The 27426-nt window shown below is 43.6% G+C and overlaps 1 pseudogene across 1 annotated transcript; it reads right to left on the bottom strand.

Moving 5' to 3' along the window:
• Window positions 1-105: 105 nt before the first annotated feature.
• TUBBP5 (tubulin beta pseudogene 5) lies at window positions 106-27426 on the bottom strand (annotated as a pseudogene). The gene is made up of 5 exons (NR_027156.1): window positions 27231-27426; window positions 2667-3493; window positions 2068-2176; window positions 1638-1938; window positions 106-1332 (listed from the first exon to the last, which is right to left on the bottom strand). The product of NR_027156.1 is annotated as a tubulin beta pseudogene 5 (transcript).

Raw genomic sequence — 27426 nt, 5'->3', positions numbered from 1 at the left:
TGGGCATGTGATGAACCCAGACAGCTTCTGCCTTGCAGGACAACTGTGTGCATCTGGCAGCAGTAGCCGGAGGGCCCATGGAAAGAAGATGGAGGTGAAACCAGATGCTGTGAGAATACTTTATTAGTCAAAACTGCACACTATAAAAGTGCTTTAAAATGCAGCAGCAGGAGATGTGAAGACACAAATGAACAAGTGCGTAGTGACACATAGCTGTCACAACACAGTGAAGAATACACACTGCCTCCCCCGCTTTACCTAGAAAAGGAGAGTTCTAGGCCACCTCCTCCTCAGCATACTCCTCATCCTCCTCCTCCTTGGCCGTGGCATCCTGATATTGCTGATATTCAGACACCAGGTCATTCATGTTGCTCTCGGCCTCGGTGAATTCCATCTCATCCATGCCCTCGCCCGTGTACCAGTGGAGGAAGGCCTTGCGCCTGAACATTGCTGTAAACTGCTCTGAGACACACGTGAAGAGTTCCTGGATGGCCGCATTATTCCCAATGAAGCTGGCTGACATTTTTAGCCCCCGGGGTGGGATGTCACAGATGGCTGTTTTTACGTTGTCGGGGAACCAGTCAGCAAAGTAGCTGCTGTTCTTATCTTGAATGTTGAACATCTGTTCATCCACCTCCCTCATGGGCATGCGACCCTGGAAAATGGCAGCCGCCGTTAGGTAGCGGCCGTGACGGGGGTCACGGGCAGCCCTCATGTTCTTAGCATCAAACATCTGCTGGGTGAGCTCAGCCACAGTCAAGGCCCGGTACTGCTGGCTGCCCCGGCTGGTCAGTGGGGCAAAGCCAGGCATGAAGAAATGCAGCCGGGGAAACGGGACCATGTTCACGGCCAGCTTCCGCAGGTCAGCATTCAGCTGGCCTGGGAAGCGCAGGCACGTGGTGACCCCACTCATGGTAGCAGACACCAGGTGGTTCAGGTCACCATAGGTGGGTGTGGGCAGTTTTAGGGTCTTGGAACATATGTCATATAGCGCTTCGTTATCTATGCAGAAGGTCTCATCTGCGTTTTCTATGAGCTGGTGGACTGAGAGGGTGGCGTTGTAGGGCTCCACCACGGTGTCTGACACCTTGGGCGAGGGCAGGATGCTGAATGTGTTTATGATCCTGTCTGGGTACTCCTCCCGGATCTTGCTGATGAGGAGGGTAACCATCCCAGACCCAGTCCCCCCACCCAGGGAGTGGGTCAGCTGGAAACCCTGCAGGCAGTCACAGCTCTCAGCCTCCTTTCTGACAACGTCCATCACTGACTCCGTCAGCTCCGCGCCTTCGGTGTAGCGTCCCTTGGCCCAGTTGTTTCCGGCCCCACACTGACCTGTAAGACAGCACAGCCGGTCACTCGATGGCCAGGTATACGGTCATCAGTGGTCACCACCATAATGCAGAAAGAGCCAAGTGTCACACGTGAGGTGAGAGCACCGTTCGCCCTGCAGGTGGAGCAAATGAAACCCGCTCCCCCAGAGTAACAGGACAGCAGCTTCCCCTGTTAGGAATTAAGTCAGGAGTCAAACCTGAGACGGGCTCACAGACCTCGCCGCAGGTGGCTCCTGCCCATTCTCAGGAAAGGCAGTAGCCACGGCCCCAGCTCAGCTCCCGGCAGGGACATCAGTAGCTCCTCACCTTGAGGAGACACCCGGGACTTCCTCCCGAAGCCCGTTTAAGAGAGGCAGATTGAGCGACTCGACTCGGCAGATAGGAGGGTGTTCAGGGGCCCTGGCGCCACAGTTCCCACAGGATGACCTTGGAGCGTTCCTGGATTTTGAGCTGCCCTGGCTAAGGAGCCGCACCCCAGTCCTCGCCCGCAGCTCACCGAAGATGAAGTTGTCTGGCCTGAGGACCTGCCCGAAGGGCCCCGAGCGCACAGAGTCCATGGTGCCCGGCTCCAGATCCACGAGCACAGCGCGGGGCACGTACCTGCCACCTGCGTGGGGCGGGAGGGCATGAGCGAGGGGAGGGCCGCGTTCCCAGGAGGGCGGTGGGGGAAGGACGGGGGTCGCACCGCTGGCCTCGTGGTGGTGCACATTGGGTGGGGGAAGGACGGGGGTCGCACCGCTGGCCTCGTGGTGGTGCACGTTGATGCGCTCCAGCTGCAGGTGGCTGTCCCCGTGGTAGGTGCCAGCGGAGTCGATAGCATGTTCATCAGAGATCACCTCCCAGAACTGCAAGAGACGGGAGGGGCCAGACAGGCCGGGGCTGAGTCACGGAGGCACCCCAGCCACTCTCCCACCCCCACCCGCACCCCCATCCCTAGGCCGCCCTGTCCCTGGGGTCCACCCCGGCCGCCTCGCCAGCCACCCAGTTCCACCGTCCCCGGCAGGGAGCCCAGGGGCCGCAATGCAGGGGCACCGCCCCGCCACTGCTAACATCTTCCCCGGCCACCCGGCAGGCCCGGGCTGGGCCCTCAGAGCCCTGGCTGCCAACCTTGGCCCCGATCTGGTTCCCGCACTGCCCGATCTGCGTGAGAGCACAAGCTCCCTCGTGGCCAAGGCAGGATTAGGGCGGCAGGAGAAGCGCGAGAAGGAGGAGCAGACGCGCAGCGACCCAGCCCGGCCTCCGCCAACGCTTAAACAGCCCCGCGCCCACCTCCCTCAGCCTCCGATTGGGCTCCCAGAATAAGCAACAGCTTTACTTCCACACAGGTGCACCCACCTGTGAATCCCTTGGCGTTGAACGTCTGTTGGAGAACTCAGGTGTCCTTGCGTGGTCCCTTCCACGTTGGGGAAAGCTGCTCAGCTGGAGAACTTCCTCCCACGTCTTTAGTAAGACTAAATCCCTAGCTGAGCTGAAACTGAATTTTCCTCCCATGTGGGAGGGGAAGACTCTTGTTTCCATATGCACGGAGTGCCTTTGCACCTGTCCCAGATTGATGACATATTTTTGTAATTGATGAGTCTTTTCATCTATTAGGAGATCTGTCGTTAGGAAAGGCCTTCCACATGTTAACTCAACAGGACTTAATTATACGTTTTACTTTGGAGCAGTTCAAACCCGCAGTAAGCTATGGGTGTTGGAGATAGTCAGGCGTCTGATTTAGCTGGAGTCTTCTGTAGAGTAGGATTAGCCCTTTCACCTTTCCAGAGGACTGCAGTCTCCACACAGAGTGAAGGTAATATTGGATTCTTAAAGCTGAGATAGGTGTTGGGTTACGCCTGCTGTGAAAGATGGGCCATTGTCACTTTGCAGGCTTTTAGATTACCCAAACTGAGGAGTTATTTCTTCTGGTAAACATTTTTCAGATGGGGTGGGGAATGCCTCAATCTAACCAGTGAAGGTATCAGTAAGCATTAGCAAATATTTGAATCTCCTGCAGAAAGGCTTCGGGGTAAATTAGAGTTGCCAGTTCTCATGTAGATTGGTTCCTCAATGTTGGACAGGTTTAACTGGAGAAGGAGAAAATTGCTGGCCGTTTGGGTCATGTCAGGCACAGAGCTCACAGGGCTGAGTCACCTGTTTTAGTGTCTTGAAAAGATTTACCCCTATAAACAAATGAGACATTAACAGAAACAAAGAATCCCTTCTAGGGTGAAAAGAATCATGAAAGTGCTGAGTTATACTCCTGTGATTGGTACTTGGCGTTAGTAATTTATTACCATCATTCAGCCCGAGGGGCCCTGGACTGAAATGCAATCCCTGGCCCATTTTCGTTCTTCTTCAGGGTATTCCGGCCCAGTTCTATGTATGCTGACCAGCACGCCCACAAGCTTCATTGGCCCTTTCAGTGCAGGGGCCTTGGCTGTGGCATCTACAAGGGCATTTCCTTTTACATGGTCAGTCTCTCTTTTGATGTCCTCTGCAATTAATTATAGTCACTTTTTGGCAGCAAAGCAGCACTCTAACAAGCTCAAAATCTGAATGATGTTGTATGGAAAAGCCCTTGGGGGTCAGGAGTCCCCACCCATTCCAAATTGCAGCATAAGCATGAAGCACTAAAAAATCATACTTGGAATCAGTGTAAATGTTAACTTTTAAATCCTTTCCAACTGCAGGGACCTAGTAAGTTCAATTAACTCAGCTTTTTGAGCTGAGGTCGAGGCCAGCAAGGCTTGTGCCTTGATTCTCTTGTGCTAATAATAGCATATCTAGCCCTCCTGTTTTCCTGATGCATAAAACAACTTGCATCTGTTAACCACTCTGCCTTGGGATGGTCAAGGGGCTCATCTCTCTTAAGTCTGGCCTGCTAGAATCAATTTGTTTCATAACCTGTGACATGCTTTGGCTGTGTCCCCAGTCAAATCTTATCTTGAATTATAGCTCCCATAATTCCTATATATCGTGGGAGGGGCCCAGTGGGAGGTAATTGAATCGGGGGATGGGTCTTTCCCATGCTGTTCTCGTGACAGTGAATAAGCCTCATGAGATCTGATGGTTTATTTATTTATTTATTTTTGAGACAGAGTCTTGCTCTGTTGCTCAGGCTGGAGTGCATTATCATGATCTTGGCTCACTGCAACCTCTGATTCCCGGGTTCAAGCGATTCTCCTGTCTCAGCCTCCCGAGTAGCTGGGATTACAGGCGCCCACCACCATGACTGTCTAATTTTTGTACTTTTAGTATAGACGAGGTTTCACCATGTCGGCCAGGCTGGCCTCAATCTCCTCACCTCAGGTCATCCACTGCCTTGGCCTCCCAAAGTGCTGGGATTACAGCTGATGGTTTTATAAAGGGGAGTTTCCCTACACAAGCTCTTTTGCCTGCTGCCACGTAAGAGATGTGACTTTGTTCCTCACCTGCCTTCTGCCATGAGTGTGAGGCCTCTCCGACCATGTGGAACTGTGAGTCAATTAAACCTCTTTTTTTATAAATTACCCAGCCTCAGATATGTCTTTATTAGCAGCGTGAGAACAGACTAATACAGCCTGTATGCCAGAAAGGCTGGGAGCACCTGTGGACTCTGACAGATAAGTAGCTGGGTTGATGGTTTGGCAGGCTTTAAGGGTTATGTCTGGAGGGTCGGTCTAGCAATAAGGCCTCACACTTTCATAAATATTCTCCTATTATCCACTGCTGCCCTTTAGCTTCTAGGACCACCTTCCCTTGGTGTGGGGTCAAAAACCTGTAGGTGCTGTTCTAATGTTAGTTTATTAGCTTTGCCAACTAGAAAAGTGGTAGCAGCAATAGCTCTAAGACATCAAGGCTAAAAGTCAGAGGATCGCTAAGGAAAGTAAAAGCTAAACGGTTTGGGGCCTCTTTCCTGGAGCAGCCTCCAGGCTACTGCAAAACGGAGGCGGTGGGCAGAAAGGCGACAATATGCACAGCACTCAGGTGAGGGACACAGAGCACAAGGTGGACAGTCCAAAAAGAGAAAGTGGCAAACATCTTGTTTAGCCAAATCCATTCTTCTCAATATTCCCCAGGGCCTCTAATCTGAGTATGACACCCCCAGGTCTCTAACTTTGGGCTGAGTCTCTCACCCTAATATTATACCCTAGGGCCTCTCACTTAAGTAATAGTGGGTAATCATTCTTGCCAACCTGAATGGTTTCGCAACTCTAACAGCCCACTTGCCAGCTGATTGATTCTATGTGGATTGTTTTCCTTGGAGTGGGGGTCTTGTCTTGGTGTCCCTTCATGGTGTTGCTGAAAGATGTTGCTGGAAAAGAGGGTCCTGACACAGACCACAAAGTAGGATTCTTAGATCTTGTGCAGGAAAAAATTTGAGGTGAGTCAGAGGGCAAAGTGAAAGAAGCAAGTTTATTAGAAATGACTCCATTACAGAGTTGGACATCCTCAGAAAACAAGAGCAGGAATGCATTGTCTTTTGTTAGTGTCTGTACTCTAACTATAAAGAGAAAGAGTTATAATTAAACTTGGAAGGTGCAGATGTACTCATTAAAGTCGGGGCTATTCGTTTTAACAATGACCATTAACCCGTTGACCTAAGCTAGCTCATTAATATTATCTTTTAAGAAAAAATGCTGCACTCCTAGGACATTTATACATTTTTCAGGCTTGGTGGAAGTGTCTTGTATGGCCATAAATATTCTGCAATTGTAATTTGTGGCCAGTAAAAAAATGTGGCTATTTCCAGACTATAGGTATTAACCTTCTAGATGCCTTGTGAGTACCTAGCTACTCATATTAAGATAGAGAATTCTCGTCATGTTTATTAAACTAGAAGCTTGATAACCATGAGTTCCTCTAACACAACAAGTATACTCCTCAAGGAGAAAATGTATTTCTCAGGAATTTTGTGCATTTTGTTTGACGGCATTTGGTATGTTTACCAAAATGGCAGAAAAGAGTGAAATTAGTCCTCAAAGATTTCTCAAGATTGGATATAAAGTAAACAAAATGATTATAGTTAATATGCAAGTTGACACAGTTGATATGCAAAAGAAATTTTGTTTGAAACACGAGATTTTTATTTTTATTTATTATTATCATTTTGAGACAGAGTCTTGGTCTGTTGCCCAGGCTGGAGTGCAGTGCACCATCTTGCCTCACTGAAACGTCTGCCTCCCGGGTTCAAGTGATTCTCCTGCCTCAGCCTCCCAAATAGCTGGGATTACAGATATGAATCACCACACTCAGATAATTTTTGTATCTTTAGTAGAAATGGGGTTTCACTCTGTTGGCCAGGCTGGTCTCAAACCCCTGACAACAAGTGATCTGCCCACCTTGGCCTCCCAAATTGCTGGGATTACAGGCATGAGCCACTGCTCCCAGCCACAATGAGGTTTTTAAATAATTCTGATTTCCTGCTGTTGAGCAGCGAGCCGAGCAAATTCAACAGATCATGAGCCTAAAGTAGGAGAAGACTGAGGACAAACTCTAGAACACATGTGATTAAATTAATTACAATGGAAAGCAAATCAAATTTAATAAGGCCATACCTCTTAGTTTCAAGATGTTTCCCCTCATTTTGAAATGTGGTGTTATTCAGTGGAAAAGAAAAACAGTGTTTATCTCCAGAGTAAAGAACAGGGTTCCCTGCAGGGACTGACTGACTGAGAGCTATGGCTCAGGATTAAAAATTCTTCTTTTTTCCACTTATAAACTAAAAATTAATTTCTAAGCCCCTATTGACTAAATGGACCCCTCTTCTTGGATAAGGACATTCCAAAGTTAACCTGAAAAGCTACTTCAAGCCATGGGTCACACCTGCCTCATTAGACTCTCCTTTTGGTTTTAATTGTAATTTTTAATTAATTTTTGTGGGTACATAGTTGGTGTATATATTTATGGGGGTACATGACATACTTTGATACAGGCATGCAATCAGTAATACACAATAAAAAACAGGGTATCCATCCCCTCAAGCATTTATAGCTTGTTTTATAAACAATCCAATTATACTATTTTAGTTTTTATAAAATGTATAAATTATTTTTTTACCATAATCACCCTGTTGTGCTACCAAATACTGTCTTATTCATTCTTTCTAACAATTTTTTGTACCCATTTCGCATCCCCACTAACCCCGTTCCCCCACTGCCCTTCCCAGCCTCTGGTAACCAACCTTATACTCTCTATCTCTATGACATCAATTGTTTTGAATTTTAGCGCCCACAAACGAGTGAGAACATGTGACATTTGTCTTTCTGTGCCTGACTTATTTCACTTAACATAAAAACTTTCAGTTCCATTTCTGTTACTGCAAATGACAGACTCTCATTCTTTCTTATAGCTGAATAGTACTCCATTGTGTATATGTACCACATTTTCTCTATCCAGTCATCTGTTGATGGACATTTAGGTTTCTTCCAAATCTTGGCTATTAGCAACATTTGTTTTTGACTGACTTCTGGATAAAAGCCACCTTAACTGAGGTGAAATGATATCTCATTTTGGGTTTGATTTGCATTTCTATGATGATCAGTAATATGGAGCACCTTTTCATTTGCCTGTTTGCCATTTGTATGTCTTCTTTTCATAAATGTCCATTTAAATTTTTGTCTACTCTTTATTATATTTTTTTCTATAGAATGTTTTGAACTCAATATATTGTAGTGTATTAGTCTGTTTCTGCACTGCTATAAAAAAACTGAGACTGGGTTATTTATTTATCTATTTATGTATTGAGATGAAGTCTTGCTCTGTCACCCAGGCTGGAGTGCATTGGTATGATCTCAGTTCACTGTAACCTCCACCTCCTGGGTTCAAGCAATTCTCTGCCTCAGCCTCTTGAGTAGCTGGGATTACAGGCACCTGACACGATGCCCAGCTAAGTTTTGTATTTTTAGTAGAGATGGGGTTTCACCATCTTGGCCAGGCTGGTCTTGAACTCCTGACCTCATGATCCACCCACCGCTGCCTCCCAAAGTGCTGGGATTACAAGCATAAGCCACTGCGCCTGGCGAGACTGGGTAATTTATAAAGGAAACAGGTTTAACTGAGTCACAGTTCCACGTGGCTGGGGAGGCCTCAGGAAACTTACAGTCATGGCAGACGAGGAAGCAGGCACCTCTTCCATGACAGCAGGTGAGAGAGCATATATGTGAAGCAAAGGGGGAAGAGCCCCTTATAAAAACATCAGATCTCATGAGAACTCACTCATTGTCAGAAGAACAACCTGGAGGAAACCAACCCCATGATCCAATCATCTTCTACCAGGTCTCTCCCTCAACACCTGGGGATTACAATTCAATATGAGATTTGGGTGGGGACACAAAGCCTAACCATATCACATCGCTATTAATTGCTTTTCAGATGGGTAATTCACAAATATTTTCTCCCATTCTGTGGGTTTTCTCTTCACTTTGTTTCCTTCACTTTAAAAAAGCTTTCTGACTTGCTGTAATTCCATTTGTTCATGTTTGCTTTGGTTGTCTGTGCTTATGGGGCATTATTTAAGAAATTTTTGCTCAAACCATGCCCTAAAGGGTTTCCCCAGTGTTTTCTTGTAAAATTTTGATAGTTTGAGGTGTTAGGTTTAAGTTTTTAATTTATTTTAATTTGATTTTTGTATGTGGCAAGAAATAGGGTTCTAGTTTCACTCTTCTGCCTATGGCTTGCCAGTTTTCCCAGCCCTATTTATTACAGAAACTGTCTTATTTTTTCTTGTATGTTATCAACACTTTTGTTCAAAATAAGTTTAGTTTAGCTGTATGAGTTTGTTTCTAAGTTCTCTATTTCATTCCATTTGTCTTTGTCTTTGTATTCTAGTGTCATGCTGTTTTAATTACTATAACTTGATAGTATAATTTAAAACCAGGTAATGGGATTCCTCCAGTTTTGGTTTATATACTCAGAATAGCTTTGACTATTATAGTGTTTTGTGGTTCCATATATATTTCAGATTTTTTTTCTATTTCTATGAGGAATGTCATTGTTATTTTGACAGAGATGGCATGAAAAGTATAGACTGCTTTGGATCGCATGGACATTTTTAAAAATACTGATTCTTCCAATCTGTGAACATAGATATAACTTTCCATTTTTTTGTCTTCTCTTTCTTTTATCAGTGTTTTACATTTTTAATTGTTGAGAACTTTTATTTCTTTGGTAAATTCCCACACATTTTGTTTTATTTGTGGCTATTGCAAATAGGATTACTTTTTTGAATTCTTTTCCAGTTTGTTGACTGTTGGCATATAGAAATCCTACTGATTTGTACATGTTGATTTTGTATTATGCAAATTTACTCAAGTTATTACTTCTAATAGTTTTTTGATGGATATATTAGGCCATTCTCACATTGCTGTAAAAATAATCGGTGACTAGTTAATTTATAAAGGAAATAGGTTTCATTGGCTCATGGTTCTACAGGCTGTACAGAAAGCATAGCACTGGCTTCTGCTTCTGGTGAAGCCTCTGACAACTGACAATCAAGGTGAAAAATAAATCCGGTGCTTGCACATCACATGGTAAGTGCAAGGGCAGGGGGGAAATGCTACGCACTTGTAGATAACCAGCTCTCATGAAAACTTACTATTGTGAGAATGGCACCAAAGGAAATGATGCCAAACTGTTCATGAAATCCTGCCCTCATGATTCAATCACCTCCCCACTAGGCCCACTTCCAACATTGAGGATTACATTTCAATGTAAGATTTTGGTGGGAACACACACCTAAACTATATCATTTTGCCCCTGGCCATTCCAAATCTCATATCCTTCTCATATTTCAAAATACAATCATGACATCCCAATAATCCCCAAAGTCTTAACTCATTTCAGCCTTAACTCAAAAGTCAAAAGTCTCATCTAAGACAAAGCTAGTTTATTCCTCCTATAAGCCTGTAAAATAAAAAACAAATTAAGTACTTCCAAGATAAAAATGGGGCATAGGCATTGGGTAAATACTCCTATTCTAAAAGGAAGAAATCAGCCAAAAGAAAGAGGCCACAGGACCCATGCAAGTCTGAAACCCAGAAGGGGAGTTATTGAATTTTAAGGCTCTAAAATAATTATTTTTGACTCTATGTCCCATTTCCAGGGCACAGTAATGCCTTGGGACGTTTAGACCTTGTGGCTTTTCATGGTTCAGCCCCCACAGCTGCTCTCATGGGCTGGTATTGTGTGCCTCTGGCTGGTTTTGTGTGCTTCTGGCTTTTCCAGGTGCAAAGTGCAAGCTGTAGCTAGATCTACCATTCCAGGGTCTGGAGGACAGTGATCCTCTCCTCACAGGTCTACTAGGCCATGCCCCAGTAGGCAGCCCACATGGGGACTGTAACCCTACATTTCTTCTCTGCATTGTTTTAGTAGAGGTTCTTCATAAGGGCTCCACCCCTGCAGCATGCTTCTGCCTGCACACCCTGGCTTTTTTATACATTATTTGAAGTAAAGGTGGAGACTCCCAAGTCTCAACTCTTGCATTTTTGTACACTCACAGGCCTAACACCATATGAAAGCTACCAAGGCTTATGGCTTGCACCCTCTGAAGCAGTGACTGGAGTTGTAACTGGGCCAATTTGTGCTACACCTGGAGCTGGAGCAGTGGCCAGGATGCAGGGAGCCATGTTCTAAGGCTACCCAAGGCAGCAGTTCCTGGGCCTGATCCCAGAAACTATTCTCTTCTTTTAGGCCTCAGGGTTTGTGATGGGGGGCTGCCTTTTAGATTTCTAAAATGCCTTCAATTCCTCTTTCTCATTGTCTTGGCTATCAACACTTGCTTTTTTTTTTAAGTTATACAAATATCTCTAACAAGTGATTGCTCCACAGCCTGCTCGAGTTCCTCTCTTGTAAAAGCTTTTTATTTTTCTGCCACATGACTAGGCTGCAAAGTTTTTAAGCTTTTACGCTATGCTTCCCTTGCAAGTAAAAATAAATTACAAGTTACTTTTTTTTGCTCCAACGTGTGAGCATAGGTTGTTAGAAGCAGCCAGGCCACATCTTGAACGCTTTGGTGCTTAGACATTTTTCCAACAGAAGCCCTAAATCATCGCTTTCAAATTTAAACTTTTATATATCCCTAGGGCATGACAAAAATTCAGCCAACCACTTTGCTAAGACAACATGAATGACCTTTGCTTCGGTCCTAATTTTCTAATTTTCATCTGAGACCTCCTCAGCTCAGCCTTCACTGTCCAGGTCACTATCAGCATTTTGGTCACAGCCATTCAAAGTTAAGAAAATCTCAACTTTCCCTCATTTTTCTGTCTTCTTCTGAGTCCTACAAACTCTTCCAACCTCTGCCTGTTTACCCAACTACAAAGCTGATTCCACATTTTCAGGTATTCTTATAACAATTTTCCACTCCTTTGTGCCAATTTTCTGTATTAAGCTTTTTTCCCATCACTATAAATACCTGAGACTGGGCAATTTATTTTTTAAAAAGGAGGTTTAAGTGGCTCATGATTCTACAGGCTGTAGAGAAGACACAGCACTGGCATGCACTTCTGGGAAGGCCCCTGGAAGTTTAGAGTCATGGCAAAAGTTGAAGCAGAATCTTGCACATCACAGGGCAAAAAGCAGGAGCAAAAAACAGAGGGGCGAGTTGTTACACACTTTTAAATAACCAGGTCTTATGGGAACTCACTCACTATCATGAAGATAGTACCAAGTGGGATGGTGCTAAGCCATTTATGAGTAATCCACCCCAATGGTTAAATCACCTGGCCCACCTCCAACATGGAGAATTACATTTAAATATGAGATTTGGGAGGGGACACACGTTCAAACCCTATCAGAGGAGTCTTTATGTTTTTCCAAATATAAGATTACATCACTGGCAAAAACAATAATTTGACTTCTTTTCCAATTGGGATGCCTTTTATTGCTTTCTCTTGTCTGATTGCTCCAGATAGGACTTTCAGAATTATGTTGAATAACAGTGGTAAAAGTGGATATTCTTGTCATCTTCCAGAGTTTAGAGGAAAGGCTTTTAGTTTTTCCCTACTTAGTATGATACTAGCTGTGGGTCTGTCATATATGACTTTTATTATGTTGACATATGTTCATTCCATACCCAGTTTTCAAAGGGTTTATTATTAAAGAATATTAAATTTTATCAAATACTTTTTTAGCATAATGGAAATGATTACATGGATTTTGTCCTTCTTTTTTTTGAGATGAAGTCTTCCTCTGTCACCCAGGCTGGAGTGCAATGGCATGATCTCAGCTCACTGCAACCTCTGCCTCCCGGGTTCAAGTGATTCTCCTGCCTCAGCCTTCCAAGTAGCTGGGATTACAGGTGCCCACCACTGCACCCGGCTAATTTTTGTATTTTTAGTAGAGATGGGGTTTTGCCATGTTGGCCAGGCTGGTTTTGAACTCCTGAACTCAGGTGATCTGCCTACCTAGGCTTCCAAAAGTGCTGGGATTACAGGCGTGAGCCACTGCCCCTGGCCCCTTCATTCTGTTTATATGATATATCACATTGACTGATTTGCATGTTGAACCATCCTTGTATCTCTGGGATAAATTCCACTTGGTCATTATGAATTACCTATTTATGTATTGTTTAATTGCATTTACTAGGTTTTTTGCAAATTTTTGCATCAATATTCTCAAATATGGGCCTGCAGTTTGCTTTTTAAATGTGTCTTTGTCTTGTTTTCATATCAGTGTAATACCAGCCTCAAAGAATGAGTTTGGAAATGTTCTTTCCTTCTCTATTTTTCAGTCTGGTCCTATAGACTTTTTTATTATGGCTTTAATTTTGTTACTTGTTATTGGTCTGTTCAGGTTTTAGATTTTTTCCTAGTTCACTCTTGGTAAGTTGTGTGTGTCTAAGAATTAATTTCCTCTAGGTTTTCTAATTTGTTGGCATACAATTACTTATAGTAGCCACTAATGATCTTTTGATTTTCTGAAACGTTACTTGTAAAGTCTCCTTTTTCACCTTTGATTTTATTAATTTGTATCTTTGTTTTTTAGCTAGCCTGTCTAAATATTTGTCAATTGTTTTACTGTTCAAAAAATCAACTTTTTGTTTCATTGATCTTTTGCATTGTTTTCTTCATTTTATTTCTGCTCTAATTTTTATTATTTCTTTTCTTCTAATTTTGAGTTTGGTTTGGCCTTTTTATTCTAGTGAATTAAGATGTATTGTTAGGTTATTTATTTGCAGCTTTTCTGATTTTTATATAGGCACTTACAGTTATAAATTTTGCACAGCAAAAGAAACTACCATCAGAGTGAACAGGCAACCTACAAAATGGGAGAAAATTTTCGCAACCTACTCATCTGACAAAGGGCTAATATCCAGAATCTACAATGAACTCAAACAAATTTACAAGAAAAAAACAAACAACCCTATCAAAAAGTGGGCAAAGGACATGAACAGACACTTCTCAAAAGAAGACATTTATGCAGCCAAAAGACACATGAAAAAATGCTCATCATCACTGGCCATCAGAGAAATGCAAATCAAAACCACAATGAGATACCATCTCACACCAGTTAGAATGGCAATCATTAAAAAGTCAGGAAACAACAGGTGCTGGAGAGGATGTGGAGAAATAGGAACACTTTTACACTGTTGGTGGGACTGTAAACTAGTTCGACCATTGTGGAAGTCAGTGGGGCGATTCCTCAGGGATCTAGAACTAGAAATACCATTTGACCCATCCATCCCATTACTGGGTATATACCCAAAGGACTATAAATCATGCTGCTATAAAGACACATGCACACGTATGTTTATTGCGGCTCTATTCACAATAGCAAAGACTTGGAACCAACCCAAATGTCCAACAATGATAGACTGGATTAAGAAAATGTGGCACATATACACCATGGAATACTATGCAGCCATAAAAAATGATGAGTTCATGTCCTTTGTAGGGACATGGATGAAATTGGAAATCATCATTCTCAGTAAACTATCGCAAGGACAAAAAACCAAACACCGCATATTCTCACTCATAGGTGGGAATTGAACAATGAGATCACATGGACACAGGAAGGGGAACATCACACTCTGGGGACTGTTGTGGGGTGGGGGGAGGGGGGAGGGATAGCACTGGGAGATATACCTAATGCTAGATGATGAGTTAGTGGGTGCAGCGCACCAGCATGGCACATGTATACATAGGTAACTAACCTGCACAATGTGCACATGTACCCTAAAACTTAAAGTATAATAATAAAAGAAAAAAAATAAATTTTCCTTTTATAATAGTACCTCTTTTACCATATTCCACAGGTTTTGCTATGCTATGTTTCTATTATTTGTTTCAAGAAGTTTTTCCATTTTCTTTTTAACATTTTTATTGACCTACTGATCATTCAAGAGCATATTGTTTAATGTCCAAGTGTTTGTATAGTTTCTGAAATTCATTTTTTAATCGATTTCTAGTTTGTTCCATTGTGGTCAGAGAAAATGCTTGAAATTACTTCAAATTTTTTTAATGTTTTTAGACTTGTTACTTAACATATGGTCTATCCTTGAAAATAACCCATGTGCAGAGAAGAATGTGTATTCTGCAGCTGTTGGATGAAATTTTCTGTAAATATCTATTAGGTTCATTTGTTACACAGTGCAGATTAAGTCTGATGTTTCTTTGTTGATTTTCTGTCTGGAAGGTCTATCCAATGACTAAAGTAGGGTGTCGAAGTGTTCAGCCATTATTGTATTGATGTCTCTTTCTTTAGCTCTTATAGTATTTGCTCCGTTTATCTAGGTGCTTTAGTGTTGGGTGCATATATATTTCCAATTATATCCTCTTGAAGAATTGATCTCTTTATTATTATATAATGACCTTCTTAATATCTTCCTACAGTCTTTTGTTGAAATCTATTTTTGTCTGGTATAAGTAAAGCTATTTCTGCTCTTTTTTGGTTTCTATTGGCATGGAATAACTTTTTCCATCGTTTTATTTTCAGTCTAAATGTATCTTTATAGGTAAAGTATTTTTTTTTTGCAGGTCACAGATTATTGTCTTGCTTCTCTATCCATTCATCCACTATTTGTCTTTTGATTAGAGTATTTTGTTCATGTACATTCAATGTTATTATTGATAAGCACTTACTCCTGCCATTTTGTTACTTGTTTTCTGATTAACTTTTGTCCTCTCATCGTTCTTTTCTTTCTTCCTGTCTTCCTTTTAGTGAAGGTGATTTATCCTTTAATATTATCTAATTTATTGCTTTTTACTTTTTGTACATCTGTGGTATGCTTTTTGATTTAAAATTTTCATGAGGCTTGAATATAATATAACACATCATTTTAGACTGTGGACAATTTAACATTGATTGCATAAACAAAGAAACAAGCAAAGCAACTAATAAAAACTCTACACTTTAACTCCATTGCCATTCTTTTAAACTTTTTGTTGTTTCTCTTCCTTCCCTATTTTACTGTCTATGTCTTGGAAATATGTTGTAGTTATTTTTTACTGGTTTATTGTTTACTCTATTTGAGATTTTTGCACACCATAATTACCATGTTATAATATTCTGTGTTTTTCCATGTGCTATTACTAGTTGAGTTCTGTACCTTCAGATGACTTCTTATTGCTCACTCACTTTTTTTCTTTCAGGCTAAGAACTCCCTTTAGCATTTCTTGTAGGACAGGTCTGGTGTTAATGAAATACCTCAGTTTTTGTTTGTCGGAAAAAGTTCTCATTTCTCTGTCAAGTTTAAAGGACTTTTTGCCAAATACATTATCCTAAGGTAAAAGTCTTTTTTTTCTTCAGCTTTTTTAATATGTCATGCCACTCTCAGCCTGTAAATTTTCCCCTGAAAAGTCTGCTGTCAGATGTATTGGAGTTCCACTGAATGTTATTTGTGTCTCTTCTCTCGCTGCTTTTAGAATCATTTCTTTATCCTTAACCTTTGGGAGTTCAGTTAAGTGCCTTGAGGTGGTCTTCTTTGGGTTAAATCTGCTTGATGTTCTGTAACTTTCTTGTACTTGAATGTTGATATCGAATGTTGGGGAATTATTTAATATTATTTAATATTATTTCTTTAAATAAATGTTTAATTTTTTTTTTTTTTTGACGGAGTCTCACTCTGTAGCCCAGGCTGGAGTGCAATGGCGCAATCTCAGCTCACTGCAAGCTCCGCCTCCTGGGTTCATGCCATTCTCCTGCCTCAGCCTCCCAAGGAGCTGGGACTACAGGCACCCACCACCACGCCCAGCTAATTTCTTTTTGTATTTTTAGTAGAGACGGGGTTTCACCGTGTTAGCCAGGATGGTCTTGATCTCCTGACCTTGTGATCTGCCCACCTCGGCCTCCCAAAGTGCTGGGATTACAGGCGTGAGCCACTGCACCGGGCCAATAAATGTTTAACTCTTATCTCTTTTTCTACCACCTCTTTAAGGCCAATAACTCTTAGATTCCTATTTTGAGGCTATTTTTTAGATTCTGTAGGCATGCTTTATTTTTTATTCTTTTTTGTCTCCTCTGACTTTGTCTTTTAAATAGTCTGACTTCAAGTTCACTAAATCTATCTTCTCCTTGATCAATTTTTTTAAGTAACTCTGATGCATTCTTCAGTATGATAATTGCATTTTAACTTCAGAATTTCTGCTTTATTCTTTTTATTTAAATCTTATCGTTAAATTTATCTGATAGAATTTTGAATTCCTTCTCTGTGTTACATTGAATTTCTTTGAATTACCTCAACCAGCTATTTTGGATTTCCTGTATGAAAGGTCACATATCTCTATTTTTCCAGGATTTGCCCCTGGTGCCTTATTTAGCTTGCTTGGTGAGGTCATGTTTTCCTGGATGGCCTTGATACTTATAGATGTTCATCTATATGTGGGCATTGAAGAGGTCAGTCTTTATTGTAGTCTTCACAGTCTGGGCTTGTTGGTGCCCATTATTTTTGGGAACACTTTCCAGGTGTTCAAAGAGACTTAGGTCCCAAGCCCAATACGTAGTAGCAAACACGTAGAGGTACTGCTTTGGTGGCCTTGGATTAACATCAAGAAAACTTCTCTTGATTTTTCAAGTAGAGATCTTGTTCTCTTCCCTTTCTTTCTCTGAAACCAGCAGTCTCTCTTTCTCTGCTGAGGCATGTGGAGCTGGAGTTGGGGTAACATAAGCACCCCTGAGGCCACGACCACTGAGACTATGCTGGTACACACTTGAAGTAGGCATAGAACTTGGTCTCACCCAAGGCCCACTGTAACCACAACTTGGCTACCATATAAGTTTATTCAAAGCCCTAGCCCTAGCCCTAACCCCAAACCCTAACCCAAACCCTAACCCTAGTCCTAGCCTTAGCCTTAACCCTTACCCTAACCCCTAACCCTAACCCCCAACCCCAACCCTTAACCCTTAACCATGACCCCTAACCACTGACCCCAACCCTAGCCCTAACCCTAACCCTAACCCTAACCCTAACTCTAAAACCCTAACCCCAACCCCAACACTAACCCCTAACCCTAACCCTCACCCTCACCCTCACCCTAACCCTTAACCCTAACACTAACCATCTAACCCTTCTCTGTAACTTAAACCTAACCATTACCCCAACCCTAAATCAAACTCTAAGCAAACCCTAACACACTAGGCACACAAGAACAGAGGTGTGCATATTCATTCTGTCATACTTATGTTTGCACTTCCTCTCACACATACACATCAACACGCTCACATATGCATACCCCTACACATACTGAAATGTCATCTGATTTGTGACCCAAAGAACTCTCAACTAAGAAATAAATGAAAAGTTGCTTACACTGACTAATACTGAAGGAAGTGCCAATTAAAAGAATATTAAAATATCTTTGCCTGCCTGTGTGCAGGCTGGGCGTGGTGGCTCCTGCCTATAATCGCAGCACTTTGGGAGGCAGAAGTGAGTGGATCCCTTGAGGCCAGAAGCTTGAGACCAGCCTGGTCAACATGAGGAAACCCCCATCTCCACTAAAAAAAAAAAAAAAAATAGTTGGGCACGTTGGCACGCACCTGTGTTCCCAGCTACTTGGAAGGCTGAGGCCTAAAAATCATTTGAACCCGGGAGTCGGAGGTTGCTATGAGCCAAGACTGTGCCACTGCACTCCACCCTGGGCAACAGAGCAAGAACCTGTCTCAAGAAAAGGACTGATATTTACTATTGGCAAAGGCTACAGGCACTCTCTTGCTAACCCTAAACCCTGACCTTGACCCAGACCTCATCATACTCTTCCCCACAATTCCTCAGGTATGTTTTCTTTCTGCTAATTTTTTTCCCCTAAACTTCTAACACTTAATACGCTACATAGTAAACCAACCCATACCCAATCCCATCCCCAATTTAACACTAAACCACACTAGGACTTCACATCACAAGAACAGAAAGGTACAGATCAATGTCTAGTATAATTATTCAATTAATAATGCTCAAGAGGCCAGGTGCAGTGGCTCACACCTGAAATCCCAGCACTTTGGGAGGCCAAGGCAGACAGATCACCTGAGGTCAGGAGTTTGAGACCAGTCTTGCTAACATGGTGAAACCCTCTCTCTACTAAAAATACAAAAATTAGCCAGGCGTGGTGGCGGGAGCCTGTAATCCTAGCTACTCAGGTGGCTAAGGCAGGAGAATTGCTTGAACCTGGGAGCCAGATGTTGCAGTGAGCCAAGATCGCGCCACTGCACTCCAGCATGGGCGACAAGAGTGAGACTCTGTCTCAAAAAAATTAAAAATAATAATAATAATAATGCCCAAGAAAATAATTGTCATTTCATACTAGCACGTATTTTGAGGATTGCACAACATGATCACTACATCCTTTTCTCAGAAAATCAAGCTGGTTTGGCATACTAAAGCCATCACTGCAAAGGAACATGAAATAAACAGAATAAAGAAGAAACCCACATGTACTTTAAACAAAGTCAACACCATTTCACCATAAAAAACACCCAACAAACCAGGGATAGGAATTTTCTAAACACCACAATCGGACTTCAGCACCATCTCCATTGTCAGGGCCCAGTGCTTTACTCCTAAGATCAGGACCAAGGCACCAATGCTCATTTTCATCACTGTATTCAACACTGTACGGGAAGTTCCACCCACAACAAATAGGAGAGAAAAAGAAGTAAAGAGAACTTATATGTGTTAGGAAGCAGTAAAAACAGCTACTCACAGATCACAGGAGCTATCTTATGTACAGAAATATCACGACAAACCCCCAAAATATTATTAAAACTAGTAAACTACAACACAAAATGTCAATACACAGTAATCTGTTGTATTTCCAGACACTAGCAACAAACAACATGAGAATGTAATTATGAAAACCATCCCAGGCTGGGGGTGGTGGCCCACACCTGTAATACCAGCACGTTGAGATGCTGAGGTGGGAAGATCTTTTGAACCCAGGAGTTTCAGGCCAGTCCGGCCAACACAGGAAAACACTCTCTCTACAAATAACTTAAAAATTAGCTAGGTGTGACGGTGCATATCTGTAGTCCTAGTTACTCGGGTGACAGAGGAGGGAGGATTGCTTGAGCCCAGGAGGTTTAGGCTGCAATAAGCCACGTTCGCACCACTGCACTCCAACCTGGCCAACAGGGCAAAACCATGCCTTGAAAAAGAAAGAAAAAGAAATTACATTTTTAAAAATCAACAGGCTGGACGTGGTAGCTGACACCTGTAATCCCAATGCTTTGGGAGGCCAAGAGAGGAGTATCACTTGAGAACAGGAGTTTGAGGCCAACTTGGGCAGGACAGCAAGACCCTACCTGTATAAAAAAATAAAAAAATTAGCCAGATGTGGTGGTGCATACCTGTAGTCGCAGCTACTTGGGAGGCTGAGGCGGGAAGATCACTTGAGCCCAGGAGACAGAGGTTGCAGTGAGCCATGATTGTGCCACAGCACTCCAGCCTGGGAGACAGAGTGAGATCCTGTCTCAAAAAAATAAAAATAAAGCAATTGCTCATAGAAATATGGGTTTATTTCTGAACTCAAAATTCAGTTCCATTGATCTATTCAATTGATTATACCAAAATCATGTTGATTTTATTACTGTTGCTTTGTAGTAGGATTTGAAATTTGGAAATGTGAGCCTCTGAGTTGTTTTTTTTTTTTTTTTTGACACTATTTTGGCTATTCTGCATCCCTTGATATTTCGTATAAATGACAGGATCAGCCTGTTGATTTCTGCCAAAAGGACGTTGGGATTGTAACAGGAATCACACAGAATCTGTAGATGGCTTTGTGTAGTACTGCCACCTTAAGAATTATTAAGTCTTCCAGTTCGTGAACATGAGGTGTCTTTAAATTTATGTAAGCTTTCTTGAATTTACTTCAGCAATGTTTTGAAATTTTCCATGTACAAGTTATTTTGTTGTTGTTTTTTGTTTTTTCCAGAGATGGGGTCTCACTCTGTCACCCAGGGTGGAGTGCAGTGGCGAGATCTTGGCTCACTGCAACCCCTGCCTCCCGGGTTCAAGCAATTCTCCTGCCTCAGCCTCCCAAGTAGCTAGGATTACATGCGCATGCCACGATGCCTGGCTAATGTTTTGTATTTTTAGTACAGATGGGGTTTCACCGTGTTAGCCAGGATGGTATCGATCTCCTGACCTCGTGGATCCACCTGCCTTGAACTCCAAAAGTGCTGGGATTACAGGCGTGAGCCACCATGCCCAGCCTCATGTACAAGTCTTGTACCTTGGTTAAATTTATTCCAAATAATATTATTACTGTTGATTGTTTTTTGAGAGAGTCTCACCCTGTCACGCAGCCTGGAATGCAGTGCCACAATCCTAGCTCTTCAGCATGAATCTCTTGGGCTCAAAAGATCCTCCCACCTCAGCCTCTAGAGTAACTGGAACTACATATGTGTGCAAGTACAACCAGTTAACTTTTTAATATTTATGTAGGGACAGTGTCTGGCTACGGTGCCCAGCTTTCATTCTAAAATTTTTAAAAATTCTGAAATTTTAGCCATGAATCAGGCATAAATACTGCGATGGTTAATTTTAGGTGTCAACTTTACCAGATTAAGGAATACACGGAGAGCTGTTAAAGCACTATGTGTGGGTATGTCTGTGAAGGTGTTTTCAGAAGAGGTATCATACTGGTATAACATATCACGGCATATCGTAATACTGATATGACACCCACAAGATGCTGTGACACCCATAAGACTGATGTGAAGCCCACAAGATTCATGGCACTCCTAAGACTCATATGACACCCATAATACTGATATGACACCTGTAAGGCTCATATGACACTCGTAAGACTGATGGGACACCTGCAATACTGATATGATGCACACAATACAGATATGACATCCGAAATAGTGATATGACACCCACAGTACTGCTATGACACCCCTAAGACTCAAGTGACACCCTCAATACTGATATGACAGCTGCAATACTGATATAGCATCCAGACTCTCACCGGGGTGCTTGGTACACAGCTTCCACTGACCTGAATTTGGACTGGGTTTGGCCTCTATAGTGAAGTTTGATGTCGTTTCTGCTTTACTGACATGGTATTACTGTGGTTGTTTATAATTTACTTTACAGTAATTTCATACTTCTAGGAATCTTGCAATAGCAGTGTAAAGTGTAACTTATCCCTTCTCTTAGATTCCTCAGCAGTTACAGCAACTCCACACAAAACACTCCAGTGTATTTTACCAAAACAAAGACAGCCTCCCAGCTAACTACCACGTAACTCCCAAATCAGGAAATACAAGGTCTCTACCTGACAATCCAATCCAGAGACCCATTTCACTTCACTGCCTGCCCCAACTGGGAGAAAAGGTCTCTTTCCATTTGGATTGGGTTTTCCTTTTTCTGGAATGTTCCTGAGCTGTCCCTCAGTTTCACAACGTTGGCAGATAACTCCCAGCTGGGTCTACCCCGTGTTTTCTCCTGAGTAGATGCAGACCCTGCGTTCCAAGCAGAAACACCTCAGCCCAATGCTTGCTCTCCTCAGTGCAACCCACCAGAAAGAGCACAATCCCCCTGCCCACAACTGGTGATCTCAACTTTATAATGGCAAAATTCTCATTTTCAAACCGAAGGTTCATCATGTCACTCTCTGATTTAACTTTTACAATGGGTTCCCACTGACCTTAGAACAAGGACCACAGGACTGACCATGACCTCCACACACTGTGTGCTCCTGCATGCTGCCCTTTCCAAGGCATTCAACCCCAGTGGCCTGCAGTCTCGTATGCTCTCTCTTACGGGACACAGCAGCCTCCTGGGTGTCTCGAGTATTTAATGCATATTCCCTCAAGCCATTCACCCAATGTCCACCCTTAGCAAATTGTCTAAGACATTGTCCAGCAAAATCCCTAAAGTCACTGCAGGTGTGGTATCTAACAGTTGTAAAGTTAATAATGTGGTTTTTCTAAAAACAAAATGTAATTATTTCTTAGATAATCTGCAAGAATCACCCGCAATTTGTAGATCAAGGAAATAATAGTTTAATGGAACCAAAGTCCATGTATGAGATAATTAGGAAAGAAAAACGAAATCTCAGTGTTGAACGAAAGGCAAATGGCGTAACTAATTACTGAAATTTAATAAGAACACACTGGGCCGGGCATGGTGGCTCATGCTTGTAATCCCAGCACTTTGGGGGGATCTGAGGCCAGCCTGGGCAACATGGCAAAACCTCATCTCTACAAAAAGAATACAAAAATTAGCTGAGCACGGTTGTATACACCTGTAGTCCCAGCTACTCGGGAGGCTGAAGCGGGAGGATGGCTCGAGCCCAGGAGGATGCAGTGAGCCGAGACGGTGCCAGAGGACTCCAGCCTGGGCAATCGGGCCAGACCCTAAAAACACTCTCCTCCTGACTCTTCAGGGAGCCAGACAGAATTCTCTCTCTTCTGCTGCCTCCTTTGTGTTTGAATATAAAACACAAAAACGAAAGCTTTGTGAAATAAATTTAACCAAGCTAAACAAAACACCTAAATAAAAGCTTTGTCTGGGAAACTTGCTCATCCTCATGTCAATTTCTATTACTGGAGAGCCAAGAAACCCTGGTCAGTAACAATACCACTGACAGCTCATTCCTGCAAAAGGTGTTGCGTTAGGCAGGAATTATTTTAAAATAATTAAAGCTTGTCATTGGGTCATAAGAAATTGTTTAATATAACAATTCCCTCAATTGAAAACAAGATAAACTAATAAGTATATTTTGTTGTTGTTGTTTTGTTTTGTTTTTTTTTTTATTATTATACTTTAAGTTTTAGGGTGCATGTGCACGATGTGCAGGTTAGTTACATATGTATACATGTGCCATGCTGGTGTGCTGCACCCGTTAACTCGTCATTGAGCATTAGGTATATCTCCTAAGGCTATCCCTCCCCACTCTCCCCACCCCACAACAGTCCCCAGATATTTTTTAAAATATTATTGATGGAAACAAACAGCAGAAATACATAGAATTAAGAATTCTGTTAAAAACTAGAAAGAGATAAATCAGAAGTCAAATAAGAAACTTATTGGCTAGGCACAGTGGCTCATGCCTGTAATCACAGTACTTTGGGAGGCCGGGGCGGGCGGATCAGCTGAGGTCAGGAGTTTGAGAACGGCATGGCCAACATGGCAAAACCCAGTCTCTACTAAAAATACAATAATCAGCCGGGCGTGGTGGCGCAGACCTGTAATCCCAGCTACTCAAGAGGCTGAGGACGAATTGCTTGAACACAGGAGGCGGAGGCTGCAGTCAGCCGAGATCTCCACTGCGCCACTGCACTCCAGCATGGGAGACAGAGCAAAACCCGGTCTCAAAAAAATAAAAAATAAAAGAAAGGAGAAACTTATTGAATCAAACTGGAAACTGAGAGAAAATGGATGATTTCCTAGTAAAAATACACAACAAAATGGACTCTAAAATAAGGAAAATTTAAATACACTGATTAGCATAGAAAAGCTTGGAGTGACCCTTAGAGATCCCCACTTAAAAAGGACCCCAGGGGCAGGGCGTGGTGGCTCATGCCTGTAATCCCAACACTTTGGGAGGACAAGGCGGGCAGATCACTTGAGGTAAGGAGTTTGAGACCAGCCTTGCCAACATGGTGAAACCCCACCTCTACTAAAAACACACAAAAAATTACCCAGGCATCATGGCGCACACTTGTAGCCCCAGCTACTTGGGAGGCTGAGGCAGGAGAATCGCTTGAGTCCAGGAAAGGGAGGTTGCAGCGAGCAGAGATTGCGCCACTACACCCTAGCCTGGGCAACTGAGTGAGACTGCATCTCAAAAAAAAAAGAAAAAGAAAAAAGAAAAATACCGCAGGGCCGGGCGCAGTAGCTCACACCTGTAATCCCCAGCACTTTGGGGAGGCCGAGGCGAGGGATCACCTGAGGTCAGGAGTTCGAGACAAGCCTGACCAATATGGTGAAACCCCATCTCTACTAAAAATACAAAATTAGCCGCATGCCTGTAATCCCAGCTACTTGGGAGGCTGAGGCAGGAGAATCGTCTGAACCCAGGAGTCAGAGGTTGCAGTGAGCCGAGATCTCACCATTGCACTCCAGCCTGAGAAAAAAGAGTGAAAATCTGTCTCAAAAAAAAAGTGGGGAGACCTTAGGCTGGGTGCAGTGGCTCACGCCTGTAATCCCAGCACTTTCGGAGGCTGACGTGTAAGGATCACTTGAGCCCAGGAGTTAAAGACAAACCTGAGGGACGTAAAGATCCTGCTTAAATTAGCAGTGCATGGTGGCTGGTGCCTATAGTCTAAGCTACTTGGGAGGCTGAGGCAGGAGGATTGTTGGAGCCCAGGAGGTCAAGGCTGCAGTAAGCCATGATCACACCACTGCACTCCAGCCTGGGTGATAGAGCAAGACCTTCTCTCTTAAAAAAAAAAAAAATCAATCAATAAAAATGTGAAGGCTGGGTACAGTGGCTCACACCTATAATCCCAATAATTTGGGAGGCAGAGGCAGGTGGATCACTTGAGGTCAGGAGTTAGAGATCAGCCTGACCAAAATGGTGAAACCCCATCTCTATTAAAAATACAAAATTAGCCAGGCATTCTGGTGCACACCTGTATTCCCAGCTGCTCAGGAGGCTGAGGTAGGAGAATTGCTTGAACCCAGGAGGCAGAGGTTGCAGTGAGCCAAGATAGGGACATTGCACTTTAGCCTGGGCAACAGGAGCTAAACTCTGTCTCAAAAAACAAACAAAAAAATTTTTTTTAATTAAAAAAAAAAAAAAAAGCAGCCAGGCCTGGTGGCTCAGGCCTGCCTGCAATCCCAGCACTTTGGGAGGCCGAGGTGGGTGGATCACTTGAGATCAGGAGTTCGAGACCAGCCTGGCCAACATGGTGAAACCCCACCTCTATTAAAAATACAAAATTAGCCCGGCGTGGTGATGCAGGCCTGGAATCCCAGCTACTCAGGAGGCTGATGCAGGAGAAGTGCTTGAACCCGGGAGGCGGAGGTTGCAGTGAGCTGAGATTGTGCCACTGCAGTCCATCCTGGGCGACAAAGTGAGACTCCATGTCAAAAAAAGAAAAGAGGCTTGGCTCAGTGGCTCACGCATGTAATCCCAACACTTTGAGAGGCCAAGGTGGGTGGCCACGAGGTCAGAAGTTCAAGACCAGCCTGGCCAAGATGGTGAAACCCCATCTCTACTAAAAACACAAAAAAATTAGCAGGGCATTATGGCAGGAACCTGTAATCCCAGCTCTTGGGGAGGCTGAGACAGAGCATTGCTTCAACCTGGGAGGTGGAGGTTACAGCGAGCTGAGCTCACGCCACTGCACTCCAGCCTGGGAGACAGAGTGACACTCCATCTCAAAAAAAAAAAAAAGCAAAAAGAAAAGATAAGAAAAGACACCGCAGGGCCATACGGGTTTACAGCTCAGTATTAAGTAACCTTAACGAAATCTGATTTTATTTAAAATGCTCAAGGCCAAGGGAAAAAAAAAGATTAGTGACTTTCTTCAATTAATTTTATGGTATCATGTCAAAGCTTGATATAGTTAATACATTTCAACTAACTTAGGATGAGAATGTTTATAAAACAGACATTTTCTGTACCATTACAAATACACTGCAAATTAAACAGACTTTCTCAACAAAAGAAAAACTGTTGTTGACGAGTTCACTTCCATTAGACGCACACAATGGTGTTTTTGGTTTTGTTTTCATTTGTTTTTGTTTTTTGAGACAAGGTCTCGCTCTGCTGCCCAGGGCTTGAGTGCAGTGGCGTGAGCATGATAATGTGCCTACTTTTCCATTTTCCTGTGTTGTTTCTACTATGTTAACAAATGAGCCTGAAAACACGGAGCACTGACCAGGCCAGGTGGCTCACGCCTGTAATCCCAGCACTTTGGGAGGCCGAGGTGGGTGGATCACCTGATGAGGCTGGGAGTTCAAGACCAGCCTGACCAACATGGAGAAACCCCGTCTCTACTAAAAATAAAAAATTACCCGGGCGTGCTGGCGCATGCCTGTAACCCCAGCTACTCGAGAGGCTGAGGCAGGAGAATCGCTTGAACCCGGGAGGCGGAGGTTGCAGTGAGCCGAGATCGCGCCATTGCACTCCAACCTGGGAAACAAGAGCGAAAGTCCGTCTCCAAAACAAAACAAAACACAAAATGAGCACTGATCCGGGGGCGCCCGTTTCCTCGACCTCAGGCTGTGGCGCCTGCCAGTCCCCAACATCCCCACCGCCCGACGGCGTCTCCGCGTTCCTCCTCCTCTCCCGGTACCAGGGTCTCTCCCCAGAAACAAACTCGCATTCGTAACCGGCATCTTGGCCTTGCGCTGGGGGTGACCCGCCCAAGCCGCCATGAAGGGACGCTTGCACAAAGTGAAGCCCAGGTACAAACAGCCCGACCCGCCCAAGCCGCCATGAAGGGACGCTTGCACAAAGTGAAGCCCAGGTACAAACAGCCCGACGGGAAACGCGGCCGCGCTCGCTCCGCTGCACTCGCAGCGGAGACAGGAAGCCTTTTCCTCACCTTTGCCTCGGCGGCCCCAGGTGTCCCGGAGCTGCAGCAGCGTCTCCCTGTCTTCACACCGGACGCGGCCCCAGGTGTCCCCAGGTGTCCCAAGCCCCGGCCCCTCCGGGGTGGGTGCTGAGGAGAGGGAGCTCCGTCCTCACGGTGGACCCCCCGTCCTCACAGTGGACCCCCCAGGACGCCGCCGTGCGGTTCG

Source organism: Homo sapiens, chromosome 9 (assembly GCF_000001405.40).
Source record: "Homo sapiens chromosome 9, GRCh38.p14 Primary Assembly".
In the NCBI taxonomy this organism is placed as follows: Eukaryota; Metazoa; Chordata; class Mammalia; order Primates; family Hominidae; genus Homo; species Homo sapiens.
This window is presented reverse-complemented; position numbering and strand designations above follow the sequence as displayed.